The 15,217-nt window shown below is 37.2% G+C and overlaps 1 protein-coding gene across 22 annotated transcripts in view, besides 5 other annotated features; it reads left to right on the top strand.

Annotated features, from left to right (window-relative positions):
- NR3C1 (nuclear receptor subfamily 3 group C member 1) overlaps window positions 1-15,217 on the top strand; it is a 157,582-nt gene that overhangs the window by 76,579 nt on the left and 65,786 nt on the right. The window lies entirely within an intron of this gene.
- Window positions 4,757-4,836: an enhancer, noted in NCBI's record as "active region_23341". NCBI's record gives its function as "activates an Ori minimal core promoter by ATAC-STARR-seq in GM12878 lymphoblastoid cells {active_cell/tissue: GM12878}" and the evidence as "EXISTENCE:reporter gene assay evidence [ECO:0000049][PMID:35858748]".
- Window positions 6,047-6,116: an enhancer, noted in NCBI's record as "active region_23340". NCBI's record gives its function as "activates an Ori minimal core promoter by ATAC-STARR-seq in GM12878 lymphoblastoid cells {active_cell/tissue: GM12878}" and the evidence as "EXISTENCE:reporter gene assay evidence [ECO:0000049][PMID:35858748]".
- Window positions 7,889-7,948: an enhancer, noted in NCBI's record as "active region_23339". NCBI's record gives its function as "activates an Ori minimal core promoter by ATAC-STARR-seq in GM12878 lymphoblastoid cells {active_cell/tissue: GM12878}" and the evidence as "EXISTENCE:reporter gene assay evidence [ECO:0000049][PMID:35858748]".
- Window positions 8,019-8,118: an enhancer, noted in NCBI's record as "active region_23338". NCBI's record gives its function as "activates an Ori minimal core promoter by ATAC-STARR-seq in GM12878 lymphoblastoid cells {active_cell/tissue: GM12878}" and the evidence as "EXISTENCE:reporter gene assay evidence [ECO:0000049][PMID:35858748]".
- Window positions 9,403-9,462: an enhancer, noted in NCBI's record as "active region_23337". NCBI's record gives its function as "activates an Ori minimal core promoter by ATAC-STARR-seq in GM12878 lymphoblastoid cells {active_cell/tissue: GM12878}" and the evidence as "EXISTENCE:reporter gene assay evidence [ECO:0000049][PMID:35858748]".

Genomic DNA, 15,217 nt, shown 5'->3' with positions numbered 1-15,217 from the left:
GGTTCTGCATAAGATTTAATTTTTTTTTTTTTTGAAATGGAGTTTTGCTCTTGTTCACGGGGCTGGAGTGCAATGGTGTGATCTCGGCTCACCACAACCTCTGCCTCCCGGGTTTAAGTGATTCTCCTGGCTCAGCCTCCCAAGTAGCTGGGATTACAGGCATGTGCCACCATGCCCGGCTAATTTTGAATTTTAGTAGAGACGGGGTTTCTCCATGTTGGTCAGGCTGGTCTCGAACTCCTGACCTCAGGTGATCCGCCTGCCTCAGCCTCCCAAAGTGCTGGGATTACAGGCGTGAGCCACCGCGCCCGGCCAAGATTTAATTTTTTAAAAGAAAATATTTTGCTAAGGGTTTGGAAACTCTTGTTTTAGCAAGAATGGATTAAGACTGATTAAAACTAAAGGCAAAGAGGAGGCTCTTATGTTTGGAATTCTTTGCTAATATTTACACAATATAATTCTCTCCACAAATATTTAATGGTACCAGATATTAGATGGTTATAATGGCAAAAGTGTTCAAAGGATGCTATCATATTCATGATTCATGATCAAAATGAACATTATAAGGCTATCCCTCTTCAGAATTAAATACGTTACTCCTGTGGAAAACTTGCTTTTAATGTAGAAGTTGTCCCAGAGCCTTTCTTCCTTTCTCATGTCCTCTTATGTCCACTGCTGAGCTAACATGGGTCTCACTGAATGATTAAGAAAAAACATCTTAGGTGGGGAGTTCTGTATATAGTAAATGTTTAATTTATTGGGGTGGTGAACGGGAAGTGCTGCTGGCAAGAGAGGATGGGAAGAGAAATCTACCCAAATCCTTACCCGCTTTACAGAACATAAACTTCCTATTCAGTAGTACACAATAACTTAACGATCAAGGCATCTTAACTTTTCTGTTTTCAGATGAAAGAACTATCGTTTGGCTTGATCAAGTATTTAGTATTTATTCGTTCACTCAAGTGCTTACGTTTTTTTGTTATCTCAGGGTTTTACGTTAGTTATTAACCAAAAGAACTAGTTTTAGTTCTGGAAGTCTAAAATATATAAGAGAAGGTGAGGAGTAATAAGAGAAGATGAAGGGAGACTTTCGGAATGGCCTATGAACTTCTAGTAACTATACCACCTTAAAATAGACAAATTACAATGCAGTTATGAAGATATGTATTTTTCAGTGAAGACAACTAAAATGTTTGCACAGAATTTTCTTTTTTATTGAGTGTTAGAAATTCTATTTTGGAGATACTACCTTGCACAACATAAAAAGAAAAAGTGAGTGTGGAATCTAGGAATCTACGTGGCTCTAGGAAATTTTTTAAGTGTGGAAACTGAAGGAGAGCAAGAGAAAGGGAGCATGGCATTCCCCTGTTTGTAGTTCATGAGGTGGGTTTAAATTGCCTTTTGCCAATGCAGCTGCACACTGAGGATTACAGAATTCTTTTTAAATGTTTGTAGAATTATTTTTCACTTATTAGGTAAAACGTGTATTTTTTGATTTTCTCCAATTTCAGCTTTCTCATGTTGCTATGCTCAATTTTGTATACCATATATAGTTTTGTTAAATTGACAAAGTGGTGTTTTTTGTTCTTCTTTTTCCCATTGGTTAAAATTTAAAGAGAAAGTGGAAGCTAGAAATTTATCTAAAAAATGTAACTTTCCCTGTAATTATTAAAGTATCAATCTAAATTTGAATTTTCTTTGTGCATAATCTTTTTTCAAGCTATTTACCATGTTGACAAACTTGCTTTCCTGTGGCAAATACACTAGCAATACGTTATAAATATGTAACTTTCAACCTATTTACAGTTGATGCTTTTTTAGCCCTTTGGATTTAAAATACAAGCACTGAAGAGGTGAGGAAGTACCACTGCTGCCTCAGCATTATTTCGAAATTCTGTTTATAAACTATACAATTTCCAAGGTCATGAATCCAGCACCTTTCCAGGTACTAACTATTGGGACAAAGATAGAATTTGATTTTATTTATTTACCTATTGACTGAAGTCTAACTTAAATCTTGCACCTAGTAAGATCTTAGAAATAACGTGTGTACTCTGACCTGTAAACTAATCCTAGTATTCTGTGTGTATATTCTTTCTCATTTGGGCTCTTAAAAGGAAAAGTAACGTACATCTGATGATCATTAGCACTGAGCTTTTTCAGCAAAAAGTATATGTTTATAAAGAAGTATAGGATAATTTAGTAATTTAATAATGTGACAACATTTGCGTGTGTTTTTTTTTTTGAGAAATACAAATTGTGAGAAACAGAAAAGTAAAAGAAGCAGCAGCAGAAATATCACTATAGGATCAAAAGATTGCAGGAACCAAAACTCCAAAATTATTGGGCATAATGTACTAAAAACAGGGCAGTGGAGGAAAGGGACAGTCCAGACTAGCTCTGAGGGTCCAAAGAAAGTATTAAATATTGTTACTGGAGTGATTTGCTCTGCTATTTGGGCTTGGGAATTAAGTGAAATTGTTGATATACTAGACAGATACTTCCCACCCATTTTTCTCTTGATAATCAGGGTTCATTTTTTCTATTTTCTATTTCTCTGGATGCTCCATTTCTTAATATTAATATTAATATTAAGCTCTCAGTCTTTATGCTAAAAATTGGTTATTTAAAACAATTTAAATCAACTTCAGTCTAATTGGCTTAAGTTCAAATCCATTTTAAGATCGATATTGTGTCCTTTAAAAATTTTATTTAAAAGATATTTAAACTGATGAGAGGATACTACCCATTCCACTGATAAACTATTACTGTAAGTTTGTCTATTGAGGGCTAGTTATTTGGTTTAAAAATGCTGAGATTATGGAAAGTGGATTGGAATATTTTGGAGCAATATTAAAAACAGTATCTGTAACAATTTAATAAACTTATAAATTCCTCTTTCTCTGTTGATCTATCTTGAAAAGACACTCTATGTCTCTAGGCATTCCTTCTCTGTGGTGTGATTGGTAGACAGGGAGTAAACAACTTACTGTAAATGGGCACCATGCCAGTTGGCTTCAGGCAGCATCAAGCTTGTGACTCACAGTCAGGGTTAGGAAAATGCCTTTTAACTTGTTTGTCTCTGCCTCTTTTAAACATTAAAGGCACAACTGTACTAATTATTAAGTATTTCATAAGGTCTTTTAGGGCTTATAAGATCTTTTAGGAATGGCCTGGAAGTTATTAGTACTGTTTCATTGAATCTGAATACCTTTAACATGATAATGAGAAGTTTTTAAAGGGTGGTTTTATAGTTAAACGGAATTTCTCAAATTGGCTTGCTCCTTATGTTGATTTATTTAGGATCACATTTGGGAGTTTCTCTGCCCTACTTTCAATGTATTTAATTTACTGACCATCACTATTTGGGGGGAAAATGTTATATGATATTTAGAAACCAAGAGTTTTGGAGTTTTTCCCCCATTAGATGTATTTATTTATTTATTTATTATTTTTTAAAGACAGGGTCTTGCTCTGTCACCCAGGCTGGAGCACAGTGGCATGATCCTAGCTCACTGTATTCTTGAACTCCTGGGCTCAGACTGTCCTCCCACCTCAGCCCAAGTGGCTAAGTATCAAGTAAGAATCACCTGGCAAATTCCAAGGCTGTATACCAGATTTCCTAAATTAGAATTTTGGGGTTGGGTATCTGAATTTTAGTAAAGCCCTCCAAATGTTTCTGGTATTGCTTCTAAGAACAATTGATAACATAATAGCTGTGGCCATTATAGGGGTATTCTGTCATATTTAGATATAAGCATACCTTGTTTTATTGTACTTCCCAAATATTGCGTGTTTATTTTGTTTTGTTTCACTTACAAATTGAAGGTTTGTGGCAACCCTATATTAAGCGAGTCTGTCAGTGCCATTTTTCCAACAGCTTGTGCTCATTTTGTGTCTCTGTGTCACATTTTGGTAATTCTCTCAATATATCAAACTTTTTCATCATTTTTGTATCTGTTACGACCAGTGATCAGTGATCTTTGATTTTTTCTTTTTTTTTTTTTTTTTGAGACGGACTTTTGCTCTGTCACCCAGGCTGGAGTGCAGTGGTTCAATCTTGGCTCACAGCAACCTCTGCCTCCCAGGTTCAAGCAATCCTCCTGCCTCAGCCTCCCCAGTAGCCGGGCCTACAGGCGTGTGCCACCACGCCTGGCTAATTTTTGTATTTTTAGTAGAGATGGGGATTCCCCATGTTGGCCAGGCTGGTCTCGAACTCCTGACCTCAGGTGATCCGCTCACCTTGGCCTCCCAAAGTGCTGGGATTACCGTGCCAGCCTGATGTTACTATTTTAATTGTTTTCAGGCACCATAAACCTCACCTGTATAAGGCACCGTACTTAATTGATAAATATTGCGCATGATCTGACTGCTCTTCCAACTGGCCATTCCCTGTCTGTCTCCCTCTTCCTGGGACTCTCAAATCCCTGAGAGACAATAATATTAAAATTAAGCTAATTAATAACCCTACAGTGGCCTCTAAGTGTTGAAGTGAAAGAGTTGCATGTCTCTCACTTTAAATAAAAAGCTAGAAGTGGCTAAACTTAGTGAGGAAGGCACATCAAAAGCCAAGACAGGCCAAAAGCAAGGACTCTTGTACTAAACAGCTAAATTGTGAATGCAAAGGAAAAGCTCTTGAAGGAAATAACTAGTGCTACTCCAGCAAACATGTGAATGATCAGAAAGTGAAACAGCCTTCTTGCTGATACGAAGAAAGTTTTAGTGGTCTGGACAGAAGATCAAACCATTCACAACATTCCTTTAAGCCAAAGCTTAACTCTCTTCAATTCTATGAAGGCTGTGAGAGGTGAGAAAGCTGCAGAAGAAAAATTGGAAGCTAGCAGAGGTCGGTTGATGAGGTTTAGGGAAAGAAGCCAGCGCTGTAACATAAAAGTGTAAGGTGAAGCAGCAAGTGCTGATACAGAAACTGCAGCAAGTTATGTAGAAGATCTAGCTAAGATTACTAAATAATAGATTTTCCATGTAGATGAAAAAGCCTTTTGTTGGAAGAAGATGCCATCTAGGACTTTCATAGCTAGAAAGGAGTCAATGTCTGGCTTCAGAGGACAGGCTGACATTCTTGTTAGGGGCTAATGTAGTTGGTGACTTTAAGTTGAAGCCAGGTCTCATTTACCACTCCAAAAATCCGAAGACCCTTAAGACTTATGCTTAATCTACTCTGCTTGTACTCTAGAAATGAAACAACAAAGCCTGGATGACAGCACATCTGTTTATAGTATGCTTCACTGAATATTTTAAGGCCACTGTAAAGACCTGTTCAACTGCTCAGAAAAAAATGATTACTTTCAAAATATTGCTGTTCATTGACAGTGCACCTGGGCTCACCCAAGAGCTCTAATGGAATTGTACAACAAGATGGATGTTGTTCTCATGCCTGCCAACACATCATCCATTTGTAGCCCATGAATCAGGGAGTGATTTCAAGTTTCAAATCAGTACATTTTGTAAGGCTATAGCTGCTATAGACAGTGATTGCTCTGGTGGACCTGGGCAAAGTAAATCAAAAACCTTCTGAAAAGGATTGGCCATTCTAGATGCTATTAAGAATTTGTGATTCGCAGGAGGAGGTCAAAGGATCAACATTAGTAGCAGTTTGAAAGAAGTTGATTCCAACAGTTATAGATGAATTTGAGGGGTTCAACACTTCAGTTTAGGAAGTCACTGCAGATGTGGTAGAAACAGCAAGAGAACTAGAATTAGAAGTGGAGCCCGAAAATGTGACGGAATTGCTGCAATCTCATGAGAAAACGTGAATGGATGAGGAGTTGCTTCTTATGGACAAATGAGCAAATAAATTTTTTTCTTGAGATGGAATCTACTCCTGGTGAAGATTCTGTGAACCTTGTTGAAATAACAACAAAGGATTTAGAGTATTACATAAACTTAATTGGTAAAGCAGCAGCATGGTTTGAGTGGATTCATTCCAGTTTTGAAAGAGTTTCTACTGTGGGTAAAATGCTATCAAACAGCATCTCGTGCTACAAAGAAATCTTTTATGAAAAGAAAAGTGAAACTTCATTGTTGTCTACTTTAAGAAATTGCCACAGCCACCCCACCTTCAGCAACCACCTCTCTGATCAGTCAGCAGGCATCAACACTGAAGCAAGACCCTCCACAAGGAAAAAGATTACAACTCACTGAAAGTTCAAATGATTGTTAGCATTTTTAAGCAATATTTTAAGATTAAGGTAAATACATTTTTAAAGACACAATGCTATTGCACACTTAATAGACTACAGTATAGTATAAATATAACTTTTATATGTAGTGGGAAACCAAAAAATTCGTCTGACTTGCTTTGTTGCAATATTCACTTTATTGTGGTCTAGAACCGAACCTGAAATATCTCAGAGGTATGCCTGTATTAATATTATTTTGCAAGTAAAAAACCCAGCATATAAAAAAAACGTAGAATATGTTGAGAGTTCAGTAATATGGATGAAAATGTTTTTCTCTAACTGAAGAACATGATAAATTATAATTAGGGAAGGATATAAACCAAGAAAATATGTCTGAGATAGCCAATTCTTGCAGTTCATAATATGAAAACTCATTATACCAATCTCAGTAAGAATACTTTTAATAGCTGTTATTTCTTTGGGATATAGAATTTATAAAGTACACAGTAATCTTCTTATGATCAATCCTAGGATCACTTTACAACCACTTACCCCATATTACAATGTAGTACCAAGACAAGCAGACCAAATTATAGAAGGACAAAGTTTTTGCTAAGCATATTTTGTCATCAGCATACCGCATTGTGTGTGCATGCATGTGTGTGTTTGTGCATGTGTGTGATTGTATAAAATATTAGAAAGCCACCCCAGAAAAGTTAAATGACTAGGAATGTTGTGAAGGGATTAAGCTACCCCTAAAATTATATAACAAAACTCTCTTCATCTATTATTAGGTCATCTTTAGAACATCTTCTCTTAAATTTGTTATAGGTCTCTCTCATCTGTTTGGATTAAAATTGGTCTGAAAGCCTAAAATGGCTTTTTACCTATATAATTATTTCCCAACTAGCTTGTAGTATAGGTGCAAAGCTATCACACTTGCTAGGTTAGTGAAGTATGTAAAAACTACCATCTTTCAATTAGGAACCATCGGATAGCTTCTACAGGATTGCTGGGGAGAACCTTTATAAAGAAAGTTATATCTTTATAAATTTTTTGTCATTTTACTTAGCTGAGAATATAAAATAAGTTAGCTAATAATAGAGTAGAAATGTTTTCTGTAACAGATTAATATTGATCAAATGTGTTATTAAATGCTAAAACACCATTTTTTTTCTCTGTAAGCCATGTGTTTCATGCCACAACACAAAAGGGACAATTGTCTGTGTTTTATGACAGTTCTGTTCTGTCAGATGCTGTTTGTTCATTTTGGTGAATAAATGAAGAGAGCCCTGGACACATCTTTTTTTCCTCAACAAAAGAGGAAAATTATTCTTGTCTGTATGTCTATAATCCTGACTCTTTGAATGGCTTTAATTTTTTTAAAGTCAGCATTTTTTTATAAAGATAGGTGTTTGGAATGTGGGCGATATGGCTGGACAGTTAGATTGGGACCAAATAATGGAAGGCTTTGAACATCATGCTAAGAGGTTTGGGTTTTACTCTGAAGGCAGTAGAGAACCATTATGTTTTTAAGCCAGGATTGACTTGTTCTAAGCTGTACCTTAGAAATATTACTCTGGCAGTTGTACATAGGATGAGCTGTATGTTGCTTTGTTTTGTTTGGGGAGACAGTTCTCGAAGAGAGACTACATACGAAGGCAGTTATATGAGTCATTACTAAAGGTCTGGCAAGAAGTAGTAAAAGCATTAACTGGAGTGGTAGCAGTAGGGAAGGAAATAAAAGGATAGATGTGGGAGTCATTTGGAAAGTATGAGGCAATTCATTGACCTTACAGAATCACTGGTTTTCTGCTTCCACTCCATTCACATTGACCTTTCCAAGGTTATCAGTGACCTGCTTGTCCTTAAATTCAGTGGGCACTTTCCAGTAACCTACTGTTGGCACCAGCCCTGTGCTAGACACCAGGATCCTGTTTGTAAAGGCATCTGCCAGTGGTTTCTGTGACACAATTCTGTTTCTAGTTTTCCTCCTTCTACTTCTCTAGCCTCTTGGCAAGTTCTTCTTTCAGAGTTTCTCAGAGCTTTGTGCTAGGCCCTCTTCTCATTTTCTCCTTCTCTAAGTGATCCCATCCTTTTCTGTTGCTTCAGTTACCATTTGTCCTTATGCAAAGGACAGCCATATCTACTGTATCTCCAGCTCAGATGTATCTCTTTGCCTCCTGACCCATATTTCCAACTATCTAACTGGGTATCTTTTCTTGGATGAGTTATAGGTCTCTCAAACACAACATGTCCAGAATAATTCATTGACTTATTCTAAGGCCTGCTTCCTCTTTCTCCTGTAGTCCCTATCTCAGGAAATATATGGTGCTATCAACCCCAAAGCAGAAATCTGGACATAATCCCTAACTACCCTTTTCCCCTCTCTGTGCACATAATTTCAGTCATTAGGCCTCATAGATTGGACTAAATAAATACCTCGCAAACCCTTCTACTTATATTCTTAACTGCTCCTACCTTAAGCCAGGCTACCATAATTTTGTAGCTGGATGACTGCATCATCATCTTGACTGGCTCCCTTGTCATCTTCAATCTATATTCTATACTGCAGCTAGAGCTTTCAAACATAAACATGTGATCAGATTAGTCCCCTCTTTAGAACACCCTAGGGTTCTCACTGTCCTGAGTACAGTCTAAGGGTTTACCATGGCTTACAGGGTCTTTTATGATTTGGTGAGCTTTTTATTGTATAACCTTTCTAAACTGCCTTTACTTCCCTCTTTCTTGGCTCTGTGTCTTTGCATAATGCTGTTCCCTATACTTCACCTCACGTCTAACCTTCATCTCCTTTTCACTTCTCCTCTTCCTCCAAAATCCAGCTGAATATCACATTGTCATGCAGGCCCATTCTTGATCTCCCACGTTTGGGTTAGATATCCCTCTTCAGTACCATCACCGCACCAGGTGTGTCCCCTATCCTAGCATTTGCCTCATTGTATTACAACTACTGTGTACTCGTCTCTACAGCTCCTGCTAGTCTAAAAGTTTTGGGAGAGCAAAGGTTCATGTTTGTGTTTTTCACTGTGGTATACCCCAGTGCCTAGTATATGATAAGCTCTCAAAATATTTGTTAGATGTATGAAGAAATGAGAAAGAGAACAGGAAGAGGGTAAGTTTCAAGACTAGGAAACAAGGCTATGAAAGCTGCAGGAAAGCAGCAGGTTAAAACCTAGAAGAAGAGTTTGTTTTAGGAAATACTGTGTTTTAAACCACTATAACTGAAGCAAAAACCCAAGGCCTGGGTGTGGATAGAGTCCACTATCTGATAACAGTGGATACTGATGCATGGCAGAGTTGGAGAGGAAGAGAGCCAGATTCCAAAACAGAAGGGGTAAAGTCTTCTAAGAAGATAGATTATAGTAAGAAGGATTAGGGGATAGAAATATGAGCCTGTTCCACTCATAGATCTCAAACATGAAATGATGAGTCATCATGAAGAGAGTAGGCAATTGTCCAGTGAAGAAGGGGATGCTAACCCTTCTTAACCTTGAATCTCTCAGGTAGAAGCAGTTAGAGAAGGAACAGCCATCATCAGATAGTGTTGTAAGGAAAATGATATCCTTGGGGAAACCTGCATTTTGGTAAAGCAAAGCAACTAAGAAAGAATATACTACCACTGTTTAACAATCGCCACAAAAAGACAGTAGGATCATCTTTGACCCCCCTCATCCTTTCTCAGGAACTTGGAGGACTAAGAAGAGAGAAATCTGTAGAAGAGGCTTCTCTCTCTGATCCTCCCTCCACTTCAGTTTTACCACATGTAATGCAACAATAATTAAGAATTTGTGTAAAATTTCACCAGGTTGGCATGCATGGAGAGAAAAATTATTCAGATGTTTTCCTTTGTCAATAATACAAGGAGCATTTGTAGGGAAAAATATTTACAAATACAGTAAGACCTATTCTCTTTCTATATTTATGGGAAAATTTTAAGTTGTGCCCTTGTTTCATGTGTGTTTCTATTTAAAGATACCATACTTAATATATATTGTTGATTCATTAACATTGAACTCATGGCTAACAGCACTATAAATCATGTCTGATCAAAACTTATGATACATGTACTTTCTTCGTAAGGTACATCATAGTCTTCTCGTACATGGGAACTCTAGGTAGTACTTCAGGACTATGCATAGAGGCCATTTTAAACAGCAAAATTCCCAACAAAAAGCACAAAACTCAAAAAATGTGCCACTAAATTTACCATGAAAAGGACACTTGTTTACAGTTTGAGAGCTAAAACAAGAAGGTGGCGTGTCACTTCGTTTGACTTCAGCTGGGAACATGCATATCAGTCGACTCAAATTTTTTGCTATTCTGTGCTTATCCACGAATCGATAGGAAAGCAAGTGTGGATTTGGGGGTTACAAATAAAATGTAGCAAATGTGTAAACTTGCAGATGTGGAATCTACAAGTAGTTAGAATCAACTATGTTAGTCTGATCATTAAATCAGTTTTTTAAAGTACTATTGTAACACCTTATAACCTGCCCCATTCACTGAGTGTTGTAGTTTATAGTTTCATTGGGCATTTTCAGTAGTTTTATCTGAAGTCACATTTCAAATTTTGTAATTGAAGCTCCAAAGTATGCTACCGGAAACACGAGCTGATGCTGTGAGACAAAATCAACAGGTAATCCACCATCACAACTGTGGGCTAGAATGCTCAAGAAACCTTGGAGGCCCAGAGAGCTGAGATGAATACTGAAGAATCATAGGCAGGTTTACTCTGTCAAGCTGCCTGTATTTTGAGGGTGTAGTCCTCAAACCAAAAAGACACCAAATGAACAAACTCAGATGGCCTCACTGGGGAACAGAGATTGAAAGCTGACACTGGAATGTGTACTTAAAAAAATGAGAGCCCGTTTTGGAAAGGCAGACTGGGCACAGAATGTGGAGAGCTATATTTGCTAACTGAAGAAATTTAGACTTTATCCTCTACAAAACAAAGCTATTGGTTTTTGAAGGTTGCATAAAAGCTGCATTTTAGCAGCATATATTTTGGTAGAGCTGTTACCTGCCTGAAAACATCAATGTCATTTCACACAAATGATACTTATCCCTTGGTGTTTGATCTAAATTTCTACAATGAGAATGTGATTTTATAGTCTTTACTGGGGAAGGAAGTAGGTTTTTCAGGCCGAAATTCTTGTGTAGCAAAAATTAACACTTAAGTTAGCCCTTGGCAATCTCCAGTTCTATAATGGTAAAATGGATTTCCCAGAAAGTCACTCTCTATCCCTTTGAATAGACATTAGAAATAACATGTACTTTAAGTGGGATTTACAGAGGAAGGGGGCCTTTAATTCTTTACTAGTGTGATGCCCTGTAAAAAAATAACTAACATTAGAGTTGAGGCCTAGAAATAGCAGCACTGGGTTAAAGTCTGTTTTCAAGTGCAAGTTTTTCTTTTTATTCGTGTGTGTGTGTGTCTGTGTGTGTTTCACATAGAAGGAGGAAATGCCAATTTCAGTTCTTACAAATATTAATGACTGCAACTTATAAAAATGTTACAGACTATATTCTTCCCTTTTGTAACAGATGAGAAGATTTTGAAATTTAGTCTCTACTTTTTAGTTTGGTAAGACAATTTGAATAAACTGCAATAATTGCAAAAGAATTCTGAATATTTGAACATTTGACATTTTCTATGTCAAATATACATTTCTTGTACTATATAAACATTCTAGAAAAGAGAGACAGGCAGGGAGGAAAGTGCTCATTAAAAAGAGCTTCACCCTCTCTGAAAAGGGATTTCCTTTACAGTGCTGTGTACTAAAGCCTGTGTTGTAAATCAGAAAGCACTGAGCACACATGTTGCTGCTTTGGTAGCATCAGAAGTCGATTTTCATTAGCCTTATACCATTCACTATTTCTGCCAAGCAATCTTAAATTATAAAAGAATCTTATTTGATTTTGTGATTCTCTTGTTTTCTGCTCATAAAGAAAATATCCTAAATTGAACAATGGCATGCTACGTTTTTAGTTTTTAAGACAGCTAATGTGTAAAAAGACATTTAAAGTATAGTTGTGTTAAGTTTTTGAAGTTTACAGTTGTTTCAATTTTGCTGCTATACTTTGTTAACATATTTTAGGAATATTTCATTTTAGTCACAACTAGGATATAAACATTATTTTGGTGGCGATCTCCTTGTAATCACGACGTCAACCAAATTTGGGAAATTTTGATTTGTTAGATTTATAAATTTTACAGTAACACAAAAGTCTAATTTCCTATATATTTTCAAGGCCCCTATACCTTTGTCAAAATAAAGTATCAATGAAAAATGAAAAAATCATAAACTATGTTCAGGCCAAACTGATACTGACTTTGTTAAAAGGCTAGATAGAAATCTGTTTTCCTCTTCTGTTACATCTCCTCTTCTGGAGACCACTCTGTGTGGACTGAAGGTTTGAGATCCTAGGACCTAGGCTAGAACAGATTAGGAGATTGTGCTGTATGTTAAGTGGCAGATACCATGGAATTCTAAGCCTGTTACGAAGGAGGAGAAGAAGAGGCACAATGACCCTGACACAGCCCCTGGGTTGACCACAGCAGATATCTCACTTGAGCAAGTAGATATCATCTCAATTGCTTGCTGATTATCTCTAACTTGTCAGTAACTTACTTTGATAACCTAGATTTAGGAGTCTGACAGCATGCAGTGTATGCCTCATAATAATCTGCTGTTTATGAAAGTCATAACATTGTATGTTTAGCATAATGGTGAAGAGCCTGCCATCTGGAATGGTCTACTTATTTGGGATCCACATACAGTAAGCTCTCACTTAACATCATCAGTAGGTTCTTGGAAACTGTGACCTTAAGCAAAACAACCTCTAATGAAACCAATTTTACCACAGGCTAATTGATATAAACAAGAGTTAAGTTCCTGTGGCATATTTCTGGTCACAAAAACATCACTAAACTTCTAAATAAAGACCCAAAACACTTATAATATTAACCACTGAAATAAATGTGAGCTATATATATACATTTAAGAATAATAAAAACAAAAAATAATTATTTACCCAATTTTTGGTGAACCAGTGAGTGATAGTGATCATAGTGATGGTGGATGAAATCAAGGAATAAATATTTGCAAAGTGAAAATTGTAAGAAGCACCCCCTGTCACCACATAGCTCAGAAATAATAATTAGGGCAGGCTTGCTGAGCATTTTTAAACTGCACTGTTTATTGTCATGCATTTGAATGATTATCGCAGACTTTATGAATTTTCATTTTATATTAATTTGTAGGCCAGGCACAGTGGCTCACGTCTGTAATCCCGGCACTTTGGGAGGCCAAGGCAGGCGGGTCACTGGAGGTCAGGAGTTCAACACCAGCCTGACCAACATGGGGAATCCCCATCTCTACTAAAAATACAAAAATTAGCCAGGTGTGGTGGTACACACCTGTAATCCCAGCTATTTGGGAGGCTGAGGCAGGAGAATTGCTTGAACCTGGGAGGTGGAGGTTGCAGTAAGCCGAGATTGTGCCCCTGCACTCCGGCCTGGTGACAGAGCTAGACTCTGTCTCAAAAAACAATAATAATAATTTGTATTCATTCATTTTCCAATGTGTTCATTCCAGTTCAGGGTCCAGGGGGCCTGCAGCTTATACTCATAGCTCAGAGCAACTGACCCTATAGACAGGACGCCACCCCATTGTAGGGTGCACTCAAATGCACACTCACACTCAAACTGGGACCCTTCAGACATGCCAGTTACCGTATCACACACAGCTTCGGGATGTGGGAGGAAAGCGAAGTATCTGGAGAAAAACTACACAGACATGGGAAGAACGAGCCAACTCTACACAGACAGTGGCCCTGGACAGAGCTGGGCAGGCATCAGTTTTTTTTCTTTTTTTTGTGGGGGGTGAGGGTGGGGCATGGAGTCTCACTCTGTCACCCAGGCTGGATTGCAGTGCAGTGGTGTGATCTCAGCTCACTACAACCTCCACCTCCCGGGTTCAAGAGTTTCTCCTGCCTCAGCCTCCCAAGTAGCTGGGATTACAGGCGCCCGCCACCACACCTGGCTAATTTTTGTATTTTTAGTAGAGACAAGGTTTCACCATGTTGGCCAAGCTGGTCTGGAACTCCTGACCTCAGGTGATCCACCCGCCTTGGCCTCCCAAAGTGATGGGATTACAGGCGTGAGCTACCGCGCCCAGTCAGCATCATTTTTTTTTTCTCATCAACGTTAAAACAATGTTGAACAAAACATTATTCAAAGACCTGCCGTATGGCTATTTTCTAGTTGTGTGACTTTCTTTGGGAAAGTTAGCAACCCTTTCTGAGCTTAAATGTCCTCATTCATAAAATGGGGCTAGTAATAATGCATAAGGTTTTTGTAAGAATTAGAATTAATAAAGTACTTAGACCATAATAACTAATTAGTATTAGTTGTTGTCTTTGCTATTATTTTGATGTGGTGGTTGTTTGGTTTCACCTGTGTACTATCAGGACATGCTGAAATAAAATTTAAGAATTGGCTTTATAATATTAGAAAAGCAAACTTTTGTACGATATGGGTATGAAAAATTGTTGGGAGTCTACTTTTTCTCTCTTACCTAATTTGTCTTAGTCTTTTTAAAGCTTAGATTTTCCAAATGAGCCATAGCAAAATATAATGTTTAAAAATGTTTAAATTCTAAGCACTATGTCATAGTTAAATAACTTAAAGGTGCTACATCTTATACAGTCCAAAAGGAACATAATTAGTAAAATTCTACAATTTAGAAAAAAAAATAGCTGACAGTGACTGATTTATAAAAGTAAAATATCTTTTGTTAATACTAATATTCTTTTTATAAATTAATTGATGACAAAAAATTGAGTGAATGAGATTTGCAGTTCATTTATCTATGATGCTGGTTTATTTAATCTCTATAATTTGCTGTATTTGAAAGAGCATAGTGATAGAGGTCATGATAAAATCTAGGCCCAGTGCCACAACTAAATCCCTGTAGGAACTCTCAAGGTTTTGATTTCATCTCTGAATGGGAATAACACCTTCCAAGAATATTATGAAGATTAAAAAGTTACGT

The sequence above is a fragment of the Homo sapiens genome, chromosome 5 (genome assembly GCF_000001405.40).
Source record: "Homo sapiens chromosome 5, GRCh38.p14 Primary Assembly".
Lineage (NCBI taxonomy): Eukaryota > Metazoa > Chordata > Mammalia > Primates > Hominidae > Homo > Homo sapiens.
The sequence above is the reverse complement of the archived record's forward strand: the minus strand, read 5'-3'. Positions and strand labels throughout refer to the sequence as shown.